General features: G+C 39.7%; 1 protein-coding gene across 8 annotated transcripts in view; it reads left to right on the top strand.

The window, feature by feature from the left end:
• The window catches only part of RAPGEF5 (Rap guanine nucleotide exchange factor 5), a 238919-nt gene that overhangs the window by 202120 nt on the left and 13177 nt on the right, over window positions 1-23622 (top strand). For 7 of the 8 annotated variants that reach the window (NM_012294.5, XM_017012837.3, XM_047421084.1 and 4 more), the window contains 7 exons: window positions 431-580; window positions 4531-4628; window positions 8016-8138; window positions 9813-9991; window positions 14920-15010; window positions 18052-18102; window positions 18910-18997. In NM_012294.5, the coding sequence (NP_036426.4) occupies window positions 431-580; window positions 4531-4628; window positions 8016-8138; window positions 9813-9991; window positions 14920-15010; window positions 18052-18102; window positions 18910-18997 (780 nt within the window). Of the gene's footprint in view, window positions 1-430; window positions 581-4530; window positions 4629-8015; window positions 8139-9812; window positions 9992-14919; window positions 15011-18051; window positions 18103-18909; window positions 18998-19981; window positions 20218-23622 lie in introns of those variants that run through there. The other variant, NM_001367601.1, reaches the window with a different exon arrangement.

The following is a 23622-nucleotide window of genomic DNA, read 5'->3' as shown; positions in this document are numbered from 1 at the left end:
GAAAAATTTATGAATTAGACACTTTAATATGCAGCTTTGGGAGATCTCAGCAACTGTCAAAGAAGGGATTTAAAAATACAGTCTGTGTACCACAGTTTCCACTGTATTATGGTCAGATGGTTTCTACAGTGAGTACACACTTGCGTGACTCGGGTCTCTCATTACATAATGAAAAGATTAAATACTACTTGTGCTTGTTGGCTGGCTTTACAACATCTGAGTTTCATGTGTTTGCAAGCACACATTTATAGACGTATACCCTCAGGTGCTCATGTACATATATAAAAAATCTAACTCTGTATGTGTTATACTGAAGAGAATAGCCAGGTGGGTTGATTTAGAAAAGTTGATCAAGGTGCCTTGATTTGGAAAAGTCTATACCTCGTGACCACTGTTCTCTGTTTCCAAACAATTCTTTTCACTTGTGCAGTTTTCTGCCACGTGTATATAACAGAGCACTCCTATGTCAGTGTGAAGGCAAAAGTTTCCAGTATAGCCCAAGAGATCCTAAAAGTCGTGGCAGAAAAGATCCAGTATGCAGAAGAGGATCTGGCTCTGGTGGCCATCACATTCTCTGGGGGTAAGTTGTTTTCTACCCTTGAATATTAATCTTTCACTGATCTCCTTCAAAAGGAGGGAGGTGACATTTTTGTAGAGTAAAAGTGCAGCTCCTCCCTTCTGGGCCCGCAGCTGGATGACCACAGTAACAATAAGAAGCTGCCTACCAGAAGTGTTTCCATGACAACAGTTGGGTACTGTGGGATACTGAATTTCCTCCCCAAGAACTGAATAGAGAGGCATGCCAGTGTTTTGAAATACATTATAAAGCTTTTCATATTTTGTACTCTAGATAAGCCTTCTATTTTCCTATTTAAATTAACTTGGGAAATTGCTAAAGAGTGAAATTACTTTGGGGTGGAAAAAAAAAAGGAAAGATGGCCTTGAACCAGTCCTATTGCGGGCTGACAATTTAATAGTTAAAGACTCCCTATTGAAAGACAAACTGTACAATAAGCTGAAAGCTCACACGGCAATATTCCTTTAGGTGGACGTGGGGAGTGAGGCCTGGTTACAACTTCTCCTTCTGTTGGGCCTTATGTATCCTCAGAGAATGGTTTATTGTCTGTTTTGAATAAGATCACACAGATTACAAGCTGACACTATTGATCTATGCGGCTTGAACAGACCTCTTCGTTTTCACTGGAGCCTGTCAGATCTCAATGTTGCTGGCCTCCTTTTTTGGTTTGCAATCTTTATTTAATATCTCCTTAACCCTGAGAAAAAAATACAAAGAAAGTGACTTAGCATCAGTAGTTGAAAAATGTGAGCACTGTGGGGGCTAATTAACCAGAGATGCGGGCAGGGGAGGGGAGCAGATTAACCGCATTCCTGTTTACCCTTTGTTATCATTCTGCAGTTGGGAGATGAATATCAGAATATACTTGAGGGTAAAGTATCTTGTTCCTATGGCTTTGTTGCTCACAGGCAGGTAAAATGGTCCTACAAGCTGGTTGATTACGTATGCAAATGAAGCCCTTCTCCCTGGGCCTAATACATAAGAATCCCTCCACCTCTCCCAGGGCTCTAATTGTATATCTTAGCAAAACATGATCTAGAAAAAAGAATTTGAGAAACATATGGCCTAAATGACTTTTAATCAGAGAGTGGTTCGATTTTTAATAATATATTTCAAATTGGTATGATAAATGTATGTTATGTTTAATTTTCAAGTGACCAAAAATATAAAAGGATTTTAAACAGTATTAAGCTTTATCAATACTGCTTAATTAAGCAGTATTAAGCTTAAGCATCCACCTCTCAAGGTAGTACCACTACAGAGAGTGATCCTGGGGTCCCCATTCAGACAGAAGGTGCCAGAGAAGGAAGAGCTGAATGAACTCTGCAGCAAAACTGAGACCCGTCTCCTTTGGGAGCTGACTGAGAGTCAACCCAGGGCCTCGTGAGAAGCTGGCAATTAATGAGCGGCTCTTTCACTACCCAATATCTATTTGGTGGCTGTGAAATACCATTTTCACACTCTATTAAATTAGATTCATCAGTATGGGCAATAGCGTTGTAATGTCTATAGACCCATTGCTAATCATCACTAGAAATATCAGCATATCTCTTGAATTATCCCACAGATTTGGCAATGTGCCATTATTTTCCATCCTCTACTTTTTTCTGTAGAGAACCTTTCTGCCTGCATCTTTTTATCCCCCAAACAATAATGTTTTCACAAAGAAAACAATCTCAAAAGCTTAATGCAATCCTTGTTCTAGTTACATAATTTTTAATAAATTATATTTTAGTCCTACTTCAAAAAGAAATGGTGAGTTTTTTCTTTGTTTTTGTCAAAAAAAAAGTTTTAAGATATCAGAGATGTTAGAGGTTTTATGGATTTTTCTAAAAGGAACAATAGTATCATTCTCATAGCTTTAGTAAGTCTTTAGCTGTTTTTTACCCAGGGTAGTTATACGTATGTAGTAACAATAAACTACCCAGTTATTCAGAAGTTAAAATTCTATCAGTTTTAATCTTTCATATTATAGTGACAAACCTGAAAATAAGGGGAAAAATGTTTCTCAGCAAATGGAAAAATGCTATCAGAAAGTCATGACATTTTATTCTATAAAGTATAAATGGCTCTCATAAATTCAGATTTAAAGTATACATAGGCACAGAAAGGGCTGCAAGAAATTATAGCTGAACAAAGAAGGAGCAGATGGAACCCAGGAGATGGAACTTAAGAATCCAGCTGTGTGAGACCATCCGCTATACATGTCACCAGCCCAACATTATAGTACTGTGGATCTTTATAATGCTGGGCCGTAAAGAATATATTAGATTATTATTTGTATACTCTGCATTAAACAGAAATGTTCAAAACAACACTTTGCATTTGGGCCAATTATCTAGAAAAGGCATATGGAATATTGCATTTCCCAATCATGCTGCATAACTGAACAGCTACCTTAGGAGAAGTTGATTGTGTCACAGTGAAATAAACTTTAATATGACTTTAGTCTACTCCCATATGCATTTTGTAGTTAGGAGGAGGGCATTTTCTAGGAAGAAAGCTATTATGTTATAAGAGGGCTCCAATTGTGGTAGAAAATGGTCAAAGGATAGGAACAATTTGCAACAAGAGAAATAAGATAGAGGAGGAATATATGAAAAATATTCAACCTACTAGTTAAGAAACACAAAGTAAACAGAGAATCTACTTTTTGTATTAGCAAAATAGTAAACTTACCAAAAGTAATGATCAGACTGGGTGCAGTGGCTGCCACCTGTAATTCCAGCACTCTGGGAGGCCAAGGCAGGCGGATCACTTGAGGTCAGGAGTCTAAGATCAGCCTAGACAACATGGTGAAACTCCATCTGTACTAAAAATACAAAATTAGCCAGGCGTGGTAGCAGGCACCTGTAATCTCAGCTACTCGGGAGGCTGAGGTTGGAGAATCACTTGAACCCAGGAGGAGGCAGAGGTTGCGGTGAGCCGAGATCACACTAGTGCACTCTAGCCTGGGTGACAGAGTGCAACTCTGTCTCAAAAAAAAAAAAAAAAAAAAAGTAATGATCAGTGTTGGTCAGTGTGCAAGTTTTATACCTATTTTTTAGGAAAATATATTGTCTTTCTTTTTTAAAAAATAAAAATCAGAAAACAATTTGGTAGTTTGTATCAAAAACTTTAAAAATATTCATTCCCTTTGACCTAGTAATTCTAATACTGGGTGTCTGTCTTAAGAAAATCATTTATAAGCAGACAAAGATTTAAACATAAGGATATTGACTTCAGCAATATATATTGTGGCAGCTATAATAATAGATCCCATTTACCAAACCCCAGTTATGTGCCAGGCCCCGTGCCAGTACTTAGCACACATCATGCCATCTAATTTATATGACCAAAAAAATTAACCATTAAATGTTCAACAGTAGAGGAAAGATTAAATGATGGTATAATGAACTATCATATAACCAATTAAACATGACATATGTAAATAATTTTGGCAAGTGGATAAAGTGCTTATAAGAATATGAGAATATAAAACTATGGAATAATTGCAAATGTATATGTGTATCCGCAATAGTTATAAATGCATATGCATAAATCATTGCAAATCAATGCAATTATTTGTGTGTGTATATATATACATGGTTATATAAAAATCAGAACAAAAATAGACCTAAGTGTAACCAGTGTTAACATGGTATTGTTATCTTAGATGAGTAAATTTTACTTTTTGTCTTAAACTGTTCTGTGTTCCAAACAATGACTAAATGTTATAGGAAATAACTGCAAGAGGACTCCACTTTCTGACCGCTGAGCAGTGAGAGCTATTTGTGATGCCACTGGTATCATTGTATAGAGTGTGCAGAACTTAATTAATCCACTTTAAGTTCTATTTACTTTTAAGTATTTTTCTTTGGCAAGTTTCACTTTTTAAGTGTACTGTGTAGGCCTACTGCTGCTACTCTTGTATTTCTGATTATTCCTTTTTTTTTTTTTTTTTTCAAATAAAGAAAAGCATGAACTTCAGCCAAATGACTTAGTCATCTCCAAATCCCTCGAGGCATCTGGTCGAATATATGTCTACCGGAAAGACCTGGCGGACACTTTGGTAAGGACCTTCAGCCTTGTATTTGAAACAAACAGGCCAGGCGAGGTGGCTCATACCTGTAATCTGAGCACTTTGGGAGGCCAAGGCAGGAAGATGGCTTGAGCTCAGAAGTTTGAGACCAGCTTAGAAGTTTGCAACCCTGTCTCTACAAAAAAACTTAAGAATTAACTGGGCATAGTAGTACACACCTGTTGTCCCTAGGTGTGTGCTGAGGTGGGAGGATCTCTTCAGCCCAGGAGGTCAAGGCTGCAATGAGTTGTGATCTCATCATTGCACTCCAGCCCAGGTGATAGGGTAGGACCTTGTCTCAAAAAAAAAAAAAAAAAAAAAAAGGAACACACGTACCACATAAAGCATAGGTTTTATGTGTTTATAATGAATGTTAAAAAAATTAAATTATTTCTTCCCTTATCCAATGATACAATTCCCAAGTAACAGTACTTTTACAAATCAAAAAATCAAAAAGGGGTTGAGCAATTCAGTTCAATCCAACTTGAGGAATTCTAAACCCTGCCTAAGTGAAACCCTTTCTAAGCCCCTGAAATAAGGGATTTGAGATAGGTGACTCCTTCTCCCATCGAATTTTAATTTCATTTCTTCTTTTTCGGTGAGTATATGAAGATGAGGCTGAGAAATGCATCCTAGGTGGATTTAAGGAGAAAGAGTCCCTTGTTTCAGTACATTTGGTACACTTCGTTCCATTCCCTTGAAGAAAAGCATGGATGACCTGCCTTCTCTGTGTAGAACGGGGTCATGGTGATGGGACGTCAGCTGCCACTGAAGATAAAGAGTCTGGAGAAATGTAGAACCCACACTTTAAGTTACTTTCAGTCCAAAATTTAAGAACACCTATGCCTAAGTGGGTGATTTCATTGCTGCTGTGGTTCCTAAAGACCTCAGTCCTGGGATTGGCTTCTGAATAGGAGGACCAGACTTCAGATCTGTCATCTAGAAAAAGTGGGCTCTAGCAGATTGCGATTGTGTCTGGAACTCAGAGTCCCCATCTCTTCATGGAGCCATCGCTGGGGCGGGTCTTTCTCACTGGCTCCTGTTGTATGTATAATTGAGAAACCTGCATACCACGTAGGTTAACCCAAACTACTGATAATAGTTTTATGTCCAGATATATGTCTACTGGAAAGACATTTTATGTAACGTTGTCTGCAGGATATTAAGCTATCATAATAATGTTAATCACTTATTACCAGATCTGTATGTGCTGAGTAATTTACATACGGTATCTCGTTTAACACTTCCAGTAACCCCACGAGAGAGGCTGAGTAACCACTGTAGCTTCATACAGCCAAGTCAGGGAGAGTGCTTCGATTTTTAAATGCAATTATATGTTTGACTCTGAAGCCCCTGCACATTTCTTTCATTTGTACATGCCTTACTTGGACCTTTCCTGTGCTGTCCTTCAGCAGGCCACAGTCCTGTGTAATTCTGTCAGTGAAACATAACCAACTGGGTGCTGCACAGCATTTTTGAGTAAATAATGAGATTGATTTTACCGCTCCCCATGAAGGAGGACGATCTGACATGTAGCTACTGTGGGGCTTGTTGCGGTAGAGGAAACCCCCACTCTGAATATCCTCTATGCCTCCTCTGCCACCCATACGTGGCCTTCTCAGGTAGCTCCCTCCTGTGCATCCCCACGGCTCAATCTACCACTGTCCAAGGCCACCTTCAGAAAAGAAGGCAGGCCTGGGCAATGCCTTGATGGAATAAATAGGTGCTGTGAAATATGTTCCAAGAGAAGCCAGACTCCATCCTACCCTCAAAAGCCTCCCCTGCCAACTCTTGACACCACCTAAAATTGTCCTACTGGAATCATAGATTTAGATATTTCATCACCAAAAGATGTCAGTTAAAATCTAACATTGTAAGGGAAGAATAATACCTGAAAACACCAGTACCTACTATCACTTTCACATAGATTAATCTTCTTAGAAAACAGGAATTAGAGCACTGAAGGAATGAGATAGAAAAATTTAATGTTCCTTGGCAAGGGCAATGGACAACCTTGAATAAATAGAGTTATTTAACCTTGAATAAATAGAGTTAATAACTCGAGTTGGGTAAGGGACCCAATTAGGGAGAAAATGGGGACAAAGAGCCAAGTAGAAGTATCCTGACACCTCCAAATTATTAAGCAGGTATGTGTGTTACTTCCTCACTCTGGGTCTTTCTTAGAAAGTCAGCAGTAGAGCCTGTCTGGTCTTAGCCTGGCCAGACCAATCCCTGAGAAACCTCAGCTTTTCCTCCACCTCAACACCTCTACATTTGTTAGCTGGTTCGTTTGGTCATTGCTTTCCGAGCACCACACTGTGCCCTACACTGGGGATACAGAGACAAAGTGGACCTTGACATGCTGCTGAGAGGACTGAGTCTGTGGGAAAGCTCTGTGAAGATCTTCAGTCATTAGGTTTTTTAAAAAAAATAGGAAACGTTTTCATCAATGTAAAACTTCTAAAATGCAAATAACTTATTTTTCAGTTTAGAAATGTTGATTAATATTTGGCACCTGGAATATTCCCTTTATCCTACTATGTCATTTATTTTTGCAAGGTTCCTTCTGTTTGTTTTAAAGTTATTATTCAAATCTAACGCTTCAAATGGGAGAATTTATATTTTCATTAGAAAACATCAACTATTTTGGAAAGATGCCAAATAATCTTTTTAATAACTTTAGTGGTGAAATAGATTGAAAGTTGTGATGGCATCTAATACTTTTATGCCATATCTTAAGGAAATACTGTTACCAGCCTCATAGTTGTTAGGCCCTATTTACGTAGGGAAAGCAGTTGATACTTAAAATAATAATCTACCATGGGATATAAATGAAATAATTTCTATTTTTTATTTCATGTTAAAACTTTTTTACTTTCTATGGGCATTTTAATAAAATGTGTAAATGTGTGTCTGGGATGAGACTTGCTAAACGTATTTCCTGTAAACGCCATGTCTGTCTTTATTGAAGTGCACCATGACATTTCTTCTGTTTGTTTTTATGCTAACCCTGCCGGCACATTAATTCTTACCAGAAGCCAAAGTGATTTCGGGGCTTTCACTTTCATTATGCTGTCTGCCAGGGCAGTGTTTTATAATCAGATTTGTGCGTGCATGTGTGCACGTGGGGGTAGGGGAGAGAGATGGGGGAGGAGCGGGCGAACTCACTGAAGTATCATTGATCACATTCTACTGTTCCCAAGACCGTTTCCTAAATTGGCTGTAACTCACTGAAGGTGAACAGACCAGGGAAAATATTAAGTGCACTCAGAAAAGATTACTTTGCTAATCTGAGCTTCTAGTGCCTTTCTACAGCCAGCCAATGCAGTGCAAAACATTTGGGAATTACTGAGGATCTTTTTGCTTCTGTTGGTTTAGAACCCATTTGCAGAAAATGAGGAATCACAGCAAAGGTCGATGAGGATTTTGGGAATGAACACTTGGGATCTTGCTCTGGAATTAATGAATTTTGATTGGAGTCTATTCAATTCAATTCACGAGGTAAATGAGGAGTGACAAGATAAAATACAAATGCTGTTTTAACTGTGAATTCTTTGTGAAGAATATCAATGCGTGCGGTGATGAAATTATGCTAGAATAACGTGGTCCAAAAGATATTTGGGGACTTGAAATATATTGAAAGACTGACTCAATTCTAAAAAAATCAGAATATGTGAGCATGCTTTTATTTGCCCCTAGTGTGAGCATATGCTTGTGTAATGTATAAATATGCTGTATTTCATGCATATAAATATATATATGTATTTGGAGATGAGGCTCTAATGGGGTTGATGAACCATTTTATCTTTGATATTGATAGGTTTATTTTTTCCATGAAGCTTATGATAGTTGTACAAGAATCATATTCATATTTATGTATGTACACACATATCCATCTTTTTACTTAAGAACATTCTACAAATTTAGACTGCATTGTAAGACTTCAAGTAATTTATTGAAAATTTTGGATATATTTCAAGTTTTTATGTCCATCAGTTTTTCACTTGAGGACAGATTATAACATTTTTAAAACAATAGATTGGGAAATAGCAAAATGCTACTGACGATTCATGAATACATTTGTCCAGAGAAAACCCTCACAGGAATCAAGAGATGAAAAATGTTAGAGCCCTCTGTAACCATATGTTGCATTTGCTTCGCCATGTAGTGAAATTTTTCATTCTGAAGTGGCCTTTCCTTCTGAAGAAGGAACCTCATGCCCAATTTAGAGACCCAAATGTCCTCATATTTTCTCATTAAACAGATTTCAATATTATGATCAGAATGTGAGCAAGTACTGAATTCCTTCAGACTAAATGACTTGTGTCTTTGGAAGTGTTAGTAGACTGGGATATATCCCTGCTTATGCAGTGGAAGAATGTAGATTACCTCTATAAAACACACACACACACACACACACACACACACACGCACACAAACACATTTAAAAACAAATCTCTTCTATTGCTTTGCACATGGTCCATCTATATAAATAGTTACTGGTCTTGTTTGATTTCGTAAATTATCAGACCTTGCCCTAATCTCATTCTCTTTGCATTTTATGGTTTGACAATGTTTTATATTGGTGGTTTTTAAAGAGCAGGTACTCAGACCAGCATCATCAGCGGGACTTGGGCACTTGTTAGAAATGCAGATTTCCGGCCCCTCCACACCCCTACAGGATCAGAAGTTCTAGGGGTGGGATCCAGCAATCTGTGCTTCAGCAGTCCTCCAGGTGATCCTGATTCACACTAAAATTTGAGGACCACTGTCTTAGAGAACAGACCTGTGAGGGTCTGATGTGCACCTTAACAAATACTAGTACTACTAGCGTTCATTTTCACTTGAATTTTTCAACATGACAAGTTTGGGAAATTTGGGGATTCCTTTTATCCTATGATTTAAACTTCAGGATATCTTAGATTTGTATATAAAGATGTCTTCCTTACATTCTGAAAAATCACTTATATAAGGATTCTAGGTGAACATTATTGAATGAGGCACCTCTAAAACTAACTCATTTTGAATTTAATGTATTACTATTCACCATGTTCTCTGTTAGTGTATTAATAATATGGGAGGAACTACCTGAAGTAGCTCTTAAAATTTGACCGAGTTTTGTATCAACCATACTTTGCTATAAATAAACCCTGGCATGAATACATTTTCTTTCAGCAAGAGCTGATCTACTTCACGTTCAGCAGACAGGGAAGTGGGGAACACACTGCAAATCTCAGCCTTCTGCTCCAGAGATGCAATGAGGTCCAGCTTTGGGTGGCCACGGAGATTCTGCTCTGCAGCCAGCTGGGCAAGCGAGTGCAGCTGGTGAAAAAATTCATCAAAATTGCGGCTCAGTAAGTTTCTAGTGTGAGAAGTGCCATTCCTCTAGTCTTCTTGAGAGAGTACATTGTTCTTCTTTCTTTCTTTCTTATGATGATAAGGGTTGGGATATAAACGTGTAATATGGAGTTAAATGACTAAATGGCTGAAAATGTCCAATTTTGAATATTTATGTCTTTGCATTTCAAGTATTTATACCTTAAAGTAAATGTCAAAATATCAGACAGAAGCACTGTGCTCTCTGCCTCAGCACTAATAAGCAGGCAGTACACACATCCTTCATCCTGCAGCTGAACTACAGTGTGTCTGGGTGAGCTACAGGAGGCAAGAAAAAAGGGGATGATGATGTGCACAAGTGGGAATCATTACACGTCAGGTGCATTGTAGGACCTGCTCATTGCTCCTTGAGGCCCACCGTATGAACTTTTGCGAACTCGTTCATTAGAAGGCCCTGCACTGGCTGGCCCCACCCCCTGAGCCTCATCCCTGGGTGCACCCCATGCTCTAGCCACTCTAAATGTCTGTCCCTCCCATGAGCACCATCTTCCAACCCTGAACACTTGTTGGCTTTGCCAGGAATGGCCACTTGCACCCAGCAAATTGCTACCATTCTTCAAGACCTCAGTCAAATATTCCTTCCTTCCTGAAGTTACCCGATTTTCAAATGCAGGGGTACTACTTCTGCTACTGCCTCTACTTCCCCTCTGCACAGATATACTTTTTACCTTCCGAAAACTTATTATATTTATTAAATTTATCTGTTTATATAGGATTTCTTCACTAGGCTGTGTTCGCTTTCAAAGAACAGGGGCTATTTCTTATCAATCATTATACCTGGGTGCGTGGTACAGACCTTGGTAAATAGCAATGACTCAGTTAATGTTGAATGAAATTTTAGTAACTTGCTAGGAGCATCTCTTAAAATATCAGATTCATATCAAGGGTCTGTTCTTTGGACAGCTCCCCAGCAGAAGCAGGGAGCATGAATCAAAATCTTCCCCAGCTCCTTTTACTTCCTGCGCTTCCAGTTTTATTTCTCCTTTGTCTTCCAAAGTAGTTTTTATATCAAACAGTTTTCAAGTACATGTCAGTGCAGCATATTCAGAAACTATATATTGATCACTTACATGTACAGATGTGTACAAGGTAGTGTGGGGAAATCAGACTGAGTCTACACCAGTTCCTGCCTTTGTGAGGCGTGCAGTGTGTCAGTGGGTAATTCTATACCTCAGCTGGCTCCTGTGCAAAACAGAATGGGAGAATGCCCTAGAAGAAGATCTAAGTCTGTTGAGGCTTTAGAGGAGCGAGAGCTCATACCCCAAGGGTGTGGGAAGCAGGATCAGGAAAACGTTGGTGAAGGAAGTTGCCTTTGAATCTATTTGAATTCTGGGTGGGATGTGACAGGTAGGAATTCAAAAGAGTACACTCTCTGTGGGAGGCCAACTCAGTGGAGACAATGAAGCAGAGCCTGTGGTTAGACAGTAATCTGTTCTGATTTAGAGTGGAGGGGGATTTGTAAGGAAGTTGTGGGAGAATGATCTGCAAAGACAGATGGGACCAAATTGTAAAAGATCTTGAATTTCAGATTGAAGGGTTTGAACTGAATTGAGAAGGGAGAAGGGATTTTTTGAAAGTTTTTGGGCAGGAGACATGATCAGAGTTATCCTTCAGGAAGGTTGGTCTGAAACTAGCACGTTGAACTGTAGCAAAGAGACCCCAAGAGTAGGATAATTTTTCTTAGGCAAGAAGAGACCATGGAGGTTCCTGACCTGGTATTTGGTGTGACTGGGCATGGAAGGATAGATAACAAGATCTGCCTAAATCTTATTGATTACTTTTATGGTGAATGCTTTTTTAAAAAAATTTGGCCATTGTGTTCCAAAATGGCTTGTAAAATTCCTAAAGGTGAGGCTCTTTTGGGTAAAAAGCTTTCTTATAAATGCTAATTATGTGGATAAGTGGGAAATTAATGTTCCAAGGAGTAAGATGATACCACCCAGCTCAGTTCCCACTATAAGATTATATCTATCCTCAGGGAAATGAAATATATTCACATCTTCTCCATATGGCCCCATGCTCTTGAATGCTTTATGGTAGTGGTCTCTATCCCTAACCCATGGAATAGAATGCCAACAGAAACATAAAGTTAAATTCCCTGTAATCATGCTAGTAGGAATAACCAAGGGAAAATAGTAATTTCCACAATCATGAAGCGTTTTTCCTGCCTGAGGCATCCTATTTGCATATTCATGTTTCCCCTCCTTCTCACCATCCCCATCCCCCACCTCTGTGGATTGAGTGGATTTTATTTCCTCACACAAAGACAAAAGGAGTGTTTGCTGAACTGGAATGTTTAGTGTCAGACAGTCTGTTCTTATCGTGGAATGAATGACCCTCGTTAACAGAGGATTCCAGCCTGGAATGGCATCTAATATTTGCACTGTATCAATTTGTCTTCTCCAGAAAGTGTGTCTGTATTAATTCCTTTTTTTTCTTAACAGATTTAGATGTTAGTTATATGTGTGTTTTTATGGGTTTTTTTCCTTAAAATATGACTAAAAAAGAAAGCTATATGGACCAGGAAAATTGTTCATGAGGAGCTAAAAGATAAAAAGATAGGAATTCTAAGATTTCACATAGATAAATTAAGCTCAATAAAACGTAGAATAATAGACATCTTTATAATGAATAATGATAAAATCATTTCCCCAGAAGTTCTTGTTTTCTACTTCAGCAAATGCTGTTTAAAAGGCTTCTTGTGTACTAGGAACCTGGGTGATGGGCAGAATGTAAAAATGATTAGACGTATACTCTAGCCTTAAGGAACCTACTATCTAGCAGAGATTGCATAAGCAGTGGGGCCTCCATCATATCCTAAGGTGAAGGGACCCAGGGGTAAGAGAGACTTCGAACTGGAGCTTCCAGCAGGGGGATGGAACAGTTCTTACTGACCACAAGAGCCTCTACAGAGGAGGCTGGTATTTCAAAACATCAACTCAGGAGGAGATGGCACTAACTCAAGTCTGTTCTAGCTGGTGGGAACGTTCAGGGTTGTGAAGAGTCAGAAAAAGTAAAATGAGGCAAGTGAACAGCAGGATGAAGGGGAGTCACCATGTGAAAGGCAGTGATTCTCAAATGCAGGTAGGTTTCCCAGTCACAGACTGGGAGGTATCTTATTGGAGTTTATTCATGGAATATACCAAGTGGGGTCGACCCAGGAGAAAGTTGGCAAAAAACCACGTAAGGGGTCACTTGGATGAAGGTACAGGGCCTCACAATTACCAAGGAACTGCTGGCAGAGCCAAAAGCTGGACAGGAGGACCATGAGAGGGACAGACCATGCCCAGTGGAGGCTCAGCAGCAAGGTGCCTGCAAGATGTGTGTCCACCCCAGATACCTTTGGCATGAGGTGTGGAGGCAACACGGCCTTTCTAGGTTCCACTGTTCTGGGGATGGAACTTCTAGAATGCCCCCAGGCCTGAGCCTTCCTTGCTTGGAGCCATGTGTAGCTGGACTCAGGCAGTACCTAACCTGTGGGGCCGGCTCTGGGCATGCCAGTGTAGGCAGGGCCTGCCAGAGCACAGCTGCTATGGGTCTCCCTACTTACTCCACAGCTCAGCTTATTCTCCTGATTCTGAACTAGGTCATCTCATACACTATGTATGCAGCTGGGAATCAGTATAGCTTTAGGAGACAGCGGTTTGTATTATGTATCGAGAACCTTTAATGTCTTCACAGCTTTTGACCAATCATGGAATGACTGGAAGTCCAATGTAATGGGAAAAAAATCACAAATACAGTAAAAAGTTTATTCCAGCATTCTGTGTAACTGGGAAAATTGAAAATCATCCACAATAGAGGAATAAATTATGTAATATGCTCTTTTGATAAAATATTACATAGCTGTTAATGATAGTAAATAATCCATAGTATATAATATAACATGGTATTTAACTGAAGAAGCAGGCAAGATCTACACTATTCCCAGATTCCATGTGAGACATTGGTGGAGAGGTCAGAAGGGATGGCATCTGAGGGAAGCTAAACAAACATCACAAGGCCCCTGATACACGCTCTGCTTACTGCTAAGTACTTCATATTTTTACATAGTAAACGATCAAGGGAGGGTAATTTTTTTTTATTATTTTAAAGCCCTATCTCAGAGAGGTTGTTTTCTAATGCTCTCCAGATAAAGGAGTGCCTGGAATTCACAGCTATTCTGGCTGCCGTGAAATCCCGAGCTCCCCCTGCCATTCCAAGCCCTCTTAGCTGGCTTTGGAAATTAGTGGAATGTTGACCAGTTAAGTCTCTGGGCATGATTGATGTTATGCAGAGTGGATAGCCTCAAGAAGTGAATGGAGCTCAACATGATCTTATTTTGCATTTCATTTCCTTGTTTAACTGAGAAATGTGGAAGAGTATTCCCATTAATATATGCCGTATTTAAAATATATACATATTATAGTAGCTATTTTGTTGGTAGCAAAGAAAATGTGCCTAAATGTAATGGGAGGGGGAGCTTAGACCTGTGGGGTGAGAAGGGCTTGTCTGTCAAAAAATGAAAAAACATGTTTTGATGAAGGAGTCAGGACTAGTGAACTGTTAAAAGGAGAGTGGGGCGTATATAAAGAAACATGAATTTAAAAGAGTGCTCAGTTGAAATTGTAAATGCACACAACATAGGTAAAAAAGGAGGAATCTTGTGAAATATGAGGAGGGTGTCAAGAGCACGGATCTTTTCCTTTAGGTAAGAGTGAGCTGAGGCGTTTGGAATCATTTCTTTGGCATTAGAGACAGCTGAAGGGCAGTAAGGGGTACGTAGGCTGTAGAGCAGAATTCCTGAGCTCTGTGGCCTAGGAGGGTCTTTTCAGCTTTATCTTTTGTGATTATCTGGGGAAAGAATGTTTCCTCAAAGTGTCCTCTACTCTCTTTTATTTTATAGCTGCAAAGCCCAGAGAAACCTGAATTCTTTCTTTGCCATTGTGATGGGTCTCAACACTGCTTCTGTCAGTCGACTGTCGCAGACCTGGGAGGTGAGCCTTGGAGTCCCATGGTGAGGGGCACATAAAATGGAAATAAAGTAATTTACATGGATTAAATGAGATAAGTACTACTAAACTAAAAATGTTTGAAAGTCATATGTCAAGGTGGTAGGGATCTTTTTGATCAAATGGTCTTTAAACGGTTGTATAATGTGTCTGAACTAGATAAAAATGGTAACGTGCTCCCCAGCTAGAATTAGTCTTCCCCTCTGTCCTGCCTGATAGTGCAGTGCTCGTTCCAGGCTGGTCCCCACAGTCTCCCCGCATGATGATGCGTGCTCAGAAGTGCGTTTGCTGTGATGCTAATGAGTTTAAGCTTCGAGGCCTCTCACTTGCAGGGCCCCTGGCAATGTGTTCACATGGATGATGTATATTTTTGTAAAATTTGCGAAAGCAAAGTAATTTTAATATTCTTTTTCTTAAAGAGGATCCACAAAACGTTCTAAAGTTTCAGACCTCCCACTTCCTGGCTCTGCACGCCGAAGGCTGTTTGGGTTCTGAGATGCAGAGGCCCACTCAAGTTCGCACAAGGTCTGACGTGTGGACTGCGACATTCATGTGGGAAGACCTGAAACTGGGGATACCCCTAAACTTAGCCAGACACAGGCGCAGGACTCTGCCTCACTCATGGTCCCCTCACCGTCCTTCCTTGGGCTTTTGTTTCCTTCGCTCTCCTTTCCTTCCTGACTGGCTACCTCCCTATGTACCACTTCTCCCCTCATCATTGCTCTTTAAGCATCATGCCTCTGCCTCTAGCCTGCGTGTGGCTCACTGTGGTCTCCTCAGCCTCCCTCACAGTCCTCTCAGATTTAGTTCCTATCACTGACTGTGCCATTCTCTTCATGGTTCCCAACTCAAACTCCTACAAGAGAAAAGCTGATAGGCCAGCTATCTTTTTCTCGGAATAGGTCTCTGGGCAACCTGTGGATTCGCTTTCTTTCAGTCAGGGGTCATACCCTGAAGGAATGCACTGTGCTGACCCAAGGGTCAGAGTCAGTCCTCCTTAAAGGGGCCCAAAAGAAAAGAAATGAAAGCCCCGCCTGCTCTGCTTAAGCAAACAAGACCTTCACACACAAAGCAAGATGAAAGACATGGGTGACAGATGCCACGATTCATTAGAGTAGGAGGAAAACAAATGGCTTGGCAAGGGTCAGTGGGGAGCGAATTTGAATTAAACCTTGAATGAAACTGATTTGGAAAAATTGAGAGGAGAAATAACTCAATTAGATTCAACCAGCTTATGTTTAATCTGCGCATTGACTGCCTGCTATGTGCAGAGCACTGCATCAGTGCCATAGCAGACAGGAGATGGCTACATGAGAACTGAGCATGCCTGTGATGACAGAAGTCTTGGACCAGGGCAGAGCAAGTGGAGGGACTCATTCTGCCTCTGGGTAGCTGAGAAAACTCGAATGAGAAGCCTCAAGCTGCAGGGCCTTCGAGGTCCAGCTGAGAGTTACTGGAGTGTGGGGATGGGCATCTCAGGTAGAGGTGACCACAGGATCTCCAGGTCTGGTGACTGGATGAATGGAAAGTGATCACACTTCCCAAATAGATAATACAGGAAAAGAAACAGATCAGAGGTCAGCAAACTGCTTTGGTAAAGGGCCAGCGAGGAAAAATGTTTAGGTTGTGCAGGCCACATGGTCTCTGTTGCAGCTGCTCAACTCTGCCATTGGAGTGAAAGAGCAGCTGTAGTACGTGCCTGAATGAAGGGGCGTGGCAGCAATCCAATAAAACTTGACCTCCTAAAAGTAGCTCATGGCTAGATTTGTTCCATGGCTGATCTCTGGAGTAGATCACTTAGTTCGACTTCGGACATGTTGGGTTTGAGGTGCCACTGGGACATTTGTGAGGGATGTCCCACAGACTAAGGTAGGCAGCTTAAAAGAAAGATTGGAATCAGTTGCAAATATCTCCATTTTGTGTCTTCTCATTTAATTGGTCCTCTGTTTGTTGGGGTGTGTGTGTGCGTGCGTGCGTGTGTGTGTGTGTGTGTGTGTGTGTGTAGTTTCCAAACAGATTAAACTACCTGTTTGCTGTGATAAACTGAGTCCATATTCAAAATTACCACATCGAAAAAAATCTATCTCTAAATAATGTAAAAGTCTAATTATTGTAGGAGTTGCCTCATTGTTTTGATTCCTTTTAGAAACAAAAAATCCCAGAAATATCTTCTTATACTTTGTTGTTAGTGTTAATAGCTGGCATTTGTTAAGTACCAGCCAAGGACCGTGTACTTTTCATGAGTGGTCTCTACATCCTCAGCTGAAGAAACAGATCCGAGAGCTTGCTGACACACCAAACCACATAGCTAGAAAGGGCAGAGTCAGAGTTCAAACTCAGGCTGCCTTTAAATATGTGCTGTTTACCACAAAAGATTACTAAGTCAATATTGAAAGGCACCCAATTTTTTACTTAGCCATGTTAAAAGCAGGCTGGAACATTCCAGGCCCTTCTTCCTTAGGCCTGAATTTTTATTTGGGAGGATGGCCTATGTTTCCATCCCCTGTCACTTTGCATGGTACCTGTTATGGTTGAGCTCTTCAATTCATTGATTCCACTCATTAAAGTGCAGGCTTCGTCACTTAAGGTCTTCCTGGCCCTTCACTATTTAGCCCAATGCTGTGAAATAAAATTTCATCATCTATGCTAAAAATGTCAGCCAACATAATTGTTTCCCACTCAGGAAGACTATTAAGAAGATGAGAGCATTTGTCAAAGGTAGGGTATGGAACTGAAATCTAAGTTTTTATTAAATGACCACCAGTATGTGGAATGTCTAACCAACTAGATTCCTGAATCATGTGGCTGTTATTTTAAGCTGTTTTAAGCAGCATTCCTAAGGAAGATCACATTAAAGGGATGATGAAAATTGCATAATGAGAAGCAATCAGGATTGAACAGATGATAGAGGTATTTATGTTCAGAAATGTGACACAGATAAACAACGTAATGAAAACTCCCTTCGATGCCTCTGAAAATAACCAACTTCTGTGACCTTCTGTTTTTTGTTTGTGTTTGTTTTTTAGAAAATCCCTGGGAAGTTTAAGAAACTTTTCTCTGAACTTGAAAGTTTAACAGTAAGTAGTTGAGCCAAAGGGGACTTATTCTTCAAAATAATTGCTAGGGTCTAGTTTCTTTCTACATTATAGTGGGTGGTATTTGTACTCTACCGTGTCAGGTAGCCTAGACTAGTTTACTTGTATATGAAACTGTAGCTTTGCTTCTTATGGAGGGAAGCAAGTTGACAGTTAATGCTTCTTCCTCTCCTTCTAAAAACGTAGTGAAAATAATCCTTTTAGTGTGATTTTTTCAGAAGGCAGGCTTTTAAGTATAGTCCATTTCAAAGCCTGCAAAATTAATCAGTATAAATTTAGCATGCAATTAGTGTCTCATGCATTTTCTTTTTCCCTTTTCTCCTTTTTACAATTTCTTAGATTGAGATTTTTAAAAATTATAGTTTCTTTTTAGAATACAAAAAAACAGTATCCTCTTGTTTTCTCTGCATTTTCTGTGCGTTACAAGGACAGCTTTTCTTGGTGGTGTATCTAACAAGAGACTTTGGGTTAATTCATGATATAAATTATGCAGAGGAAACTGTACTTAAAGGACCTCTTTGAGGAAAATAATAGGACAATCAAAAGATGTCTCTCATTTGCGGTCATTTCCCTTTATTGTAAACCAATAACTTGAATTTCATTCATTGCCTAGATTTCCTGCCCTAATTTAGTGAGTTTATTCTCCTAGGAAACCTTTATCTACTTTGTTCTTAGGAGGAATCTCTCTATATCTAAGTTATGTTCAAATTGTGTAGCAAAGGTGGATTTAGAATTGTTTCTATAGCACATTGATTTTTCTTTCTCTTTGTAATCTGCTTGGTTCGGCAGGATCCTTCCCTAAATCACAAAGCCTACAGAGATGCATTCAAAAAGATGAAGCCACCAAAAATCCCTTTCATGCCCTTATTGCTTAAAGGTAATGATTTTCTATCTTTTATGCCATGTAATTTCATATTTCAGAAATTTATTACTGTAACTATTGAGGGCAAAAAAGGGACTCTCATTTTGTCTCTTTACAGTTATTTTGACATTCAGACCTAATTGTGTTGCCTTGTGATTGTTTTTCAAATAGCCGATTATTTTTGAGATACCTAGAATACGTAATTGTGTTTGAGCAGACACCAAAGCATTTTCACTTGACTCACAAAACTTGGCACTGGAAACATTTGTGTTTTTCTTTTACTCTACTTCTAAGCCCTGTATTACTTTCTTTGAGCCAACAATCCACCGAATTCAACCAAGAATAAGGCTGGCATAAAGAACCCAAATGGTGATCAATCATGTTCTATTTTTGCAACCTAAACTTAAGAGACGCAGCCCACAATTTGCTGTTGTATGAGAAGTACCTTTGGTCAATACAAGTAATATAGCTTTCGAAAAGTGTTGATGGAGAAGTGTACTTCCTTTCTTCAGGAGTGGAATTGAGTTGGGAAAATATTTGATAGCTGCAAGTTACTCCACTGACCACTCCCCACTAAGCACCAAATAATTCATCATGAAACATGTTAGTTAAATTTATTGATGAGATTTCAGTGATCTCTCTTTCAAACCAAGGGGATTAATAAAAGGAAACTCTTTTTAATCTGGTGTATACCGCTGACATTCAGTGTAAATCTTTACCTGTATGCTTCCAGGGAAAGGGGGTTTGGGCATTATCCTTGGCCGTATTTTGATTCCTTCAAGAGGTTTAGTAGGAATACTCTTTCATCCAGCCTCTTTTCTTCAGAGGCTTGTAACTTCTGCTAAGCCAGGCCCCAGTGGCTGGACCCATACACATGATTCTAGAAATGAGCTGTGTGGGAACTGGATTGCTGGTTGGCCTGGCCATCCTCATTCCCCACTTCCTCCCATTGCCACCACGCCCCTCGTCTACCCAATAAAGCTGGCATTTTCTCTTCAGCTTCTCTCAAGAACAGCCAGAGCTTGGAAAATTATTGTGAGTTGCCGTACATCGTGCAGCTACTCACTGAGTCTTCCTTCATCAAATATGAAGCAAGAATCTCTGTGAAACAGGAATATAATATTAGGACAATGGAGATAGATATGCACAGATGCGTCATCCAAGCCGAAAATATTCTGTTAAATACAAATGCGTGAAATAAAGAGACACTGTGGTGCCCAAATAATAATTTAAAAGTTTATTTGACTCTTCATATTTATTTGCTTTTAAGAGAAGGTCTGTGCTTTTTATTTGTGGAATAAAATATCTTCAATTAGAGGGTGGGAGGTGGCAGGTGGGAAGTAACACTTGGGATCATTTAGACACAAATAAAGACAATAGAAAGTAGGACTGATGTAGGAAAGGAATTGATTGCAGGAAGAAAAAATTTTGAAACAACACATACTTTAAGGTAATGAGAAATTAGTTGACAATATTTCTTTAACTTAATTAGATATGAACAGAGCCTTCTGCCATATATTAGTGGTTTCCCCCCCAAAATATTTAATGCAGTCAAGTGTCTCACACATTTTAGCTCGGATGCAATTTTCTGCTCTGCTGAGTTTATCGAGACCTCTGTTGGCAGCAAGACAAATTTCCCTTTTTTTACTGAAAACACATTTACTCATTTCAAAAGAATAAGAAATAAACATTTGTTATTTTCTTATTAGAAGCTTCCTTGAATTTAAATAAGCACTTAGTTTTCCTTTGTCTTAATTTTTTGTCATGATAAAATCATATAGTATTAGTACTTCATTGTACTTAAAGTTACTGTTTTTGTCTGAAATAATTTCCAAGGAAAATGTGATGAAAATATAAAACATGTATATTATGCCTAAGATGAGACATTTTGGCAAAAATATACAACATTAATTCTTAGGCTTTTTTAATCACATAATTTAAAGTTTCAATGAACTATTTTAGAACAACCAACTTAGTTTTTAATGAAAGCTCTTTGTCTCCCCCTCTCTTGTGCCTCCCACTTTGAGTAGCTTTTAATTAGAAAAATGGGACCAAATTGAACTCCTTGGTGTTTAAGAAGGATTAGGCCCCCCATATTGCATTTTTTGAAAGTCAGTTCCCAATAAGCCTGCAGATTATCAATTAAGTGGATTACCTGAGGATCCTTCCAGCCCTCAATCTTCCTCTTTCTTATTTGAATTTCTTGCCTTTTGATGTACTTTCCCCTTACTGTGGTGTGGAATCTTGGTCAGAAAGGGACGAATGGGAAACACTAAGTGCTGGGGAGAAGACCCAGCTGAGCTAAGGATCTAAGGAGTCGTAGTTCATGTGCTATTTTTGGAGATGGAGTGAATCATCTAGTTGTTTGAGGATAAACTGGGGTTCCTGTGGTGGGTTTCATATATGTGTCTTAGAGTGGAGTTTATTGTTGCAGATTTGTGCGGGTCTCTGAAGGGAAGGAATGTTGGGACTCTTGGATGTTTCTTCCTCCTCTTCCACTTGCCATCTCTTCAAAGTCATTTCATTGAGCAGTTCTATTTCAGGAGATGTTTGGGGTGTGTTCAGGTGTCTCCAGGTGAAAGAGGCCTGGCAGTTGCTCATTTCTCATACCCCAAAACTGCTTCTTGTCCCATGACTTAAATTCTGACATCTTCGTTTTTTTCAGCCCAACCTCTCATTTGTTTCTCTCTCATACCTTCCGTGTCATGCACCTGCCATTCAACTGCATCGAAACCTGTAGCCAGTTGAACTCTTCCCTTTCTCCCGGACTGCAGCACCTTCCAGCCTGTCTCCCCTCTCACCTGGCCAGCACCCTTGACACCTTCCCTGCCTTATGCTTAGACAGTACCAGCCTGACAGGCCCTGGCCCCTCAATAGAGCCGCCACACACTCTACTGAGAGCTAAGAGTGAGAGGGACTACCTAGGAAGAGGAGAGATTGCCGGCAGGAGGGACTGCCTGAAGGGAGTGAGGAGGGAAGCACTTTCAGTGTTGCAGGGGCAGCTCATGTGTTATAAATTGAGCAGGTTGACTGCACCTGATAGCAAGAAAAGCCAAGTCCTTTCCACTTGAGGTGCCTGGAGAGGCGCAGTGGTGAGGGGGAGCCAGCCTCCCTTTGTTTGAATCCTGGCTCTGACACATATAGCTGTGAGCATGGGTTAGCCATAGACGTCCTTGGGGCCTTAGTTTCTTCATAGCCTTACCTCCTAGAATTTACCTTATGAGTTAATGCAGCTAAAGCTCTTTAGAGCCATGTCTAACACTGTTAATAAATGTAAGATGTCATTATTGCCACTGCCCTCCTCATCATCCCTAGGAAGAGGGGTGAGGGGCAGGTGAGGGATAAACCTGTAATGCAGGGGAAATGGACTAAGCCACTCTGAGAAGCTGTGTGGAATCTGGAATTCTTGGAGAGTTAGTAGAGGCCAGACCTTCAGGTGGTATTTAATGTAGACAGAGTGTGCACAGGTTTGCATTTGCTACACAGAAAAGGTAAAACCTGTGTTGACTTCTCTTTTCTGAATACCGTGTCACGGAATGAAAGCTTGTAATTATTTTCTGCAAGCAAAATTTCAAAAGATAATAAAATAACCAGAGAGTTTGTCAGGAGACTGTGTAATTAGTTGTGAATCGTTTTCCTACTAGGACATCAGTTTACAAGCAAAAAAAAAAAAAGAGAGGAAAGGAAAAGAAGCTTATGAAAACATTTCAGTCCACATTGGAAGCTGTGTATAACGCCTTGAGGAAAGGGTTGCATCAGTGTGTGCTGTAACTGTGTAACTATTGTCACCTCCTGGTGACAGTAAAAGCTTTGTGGCCCAGAGTTTTGGTGGCAAGTTTTAGGACCACCTATCTCATAATTACCCCATAGGGACCAGCAGAATAAAAATCTTGATTAAAAGCAAATACATTCTTTTTCTATTTATAGGAGTTTTTAAGACATTCTTTTCCCCTCTTTTCTATCAGGTTATTTTTACAAGATTTTTAAAGGCTGTTTTTATTTGGTTGGTTCTCCATATATGTAATATAACATGATTATTTGCACATGCTTTAAATTATAGTATATTTATTTTTGTGATACTTGTCTGCGAGGATTCCCTGATGCTGTCATCCACCCTCTGATCCGATTATGGCTAAGTCATCCACTCTCAGAGCTTCAGTTGCTACCTTTATTTAATGTAACTAATTTCCAAATCTATATGTCTTGAGGAGGCACTCTTTTGTTTACTGCAGCCAACAGGAGATATTTAATGAATATCCTCACTCATTTAAATGCAGTGAGCCTCAAACCAAATTTAACTTTATCTTCCTCTGAAAATGCACTTTCATTGTACTTTCCTCCTTTTATTTTCATCAGTGATGCTTGCTTTCTACTAGTCGAATGGGGCCAGACATCTTGACTTTTTCAAGCCTGCCTCTTTCCTCACTTATTCCTGGTACACAATCAGACATCAACTTTGGGAACCAAAAATTTAAATTTAAACATCTAAATCTATATCTTAACTAGTTGTTTTAAGTAAAGCAAGTCCCATACACTTTGCCAGGGATTTGTAAAAAGCAAACACATACTTACTAAAATCCTGTTGTTTCTGGGTATTCAGTCCTTTTCTGCTCAGTCTTCTGACTTAAACACATAATGGA

The sequence above is a fragment of the Homo sapiens genome, chromosome 7 (assembly GCF_000001405.40).
Source record: "Homo sapiens chromosome 7, GRCh38.p14 Primary Assembly".
NCBI classification, from domain to species: Eukaryota; Metazoa; Chordata; class Mammalia; order Primates; family Hominidae; genus Homo; species Homo sapiens.
The sequence above is the reverse complement of the archived record's forward strand: the minus strand, read 5'-3'. Positions and strand labels throughout refer to the sequence as shown.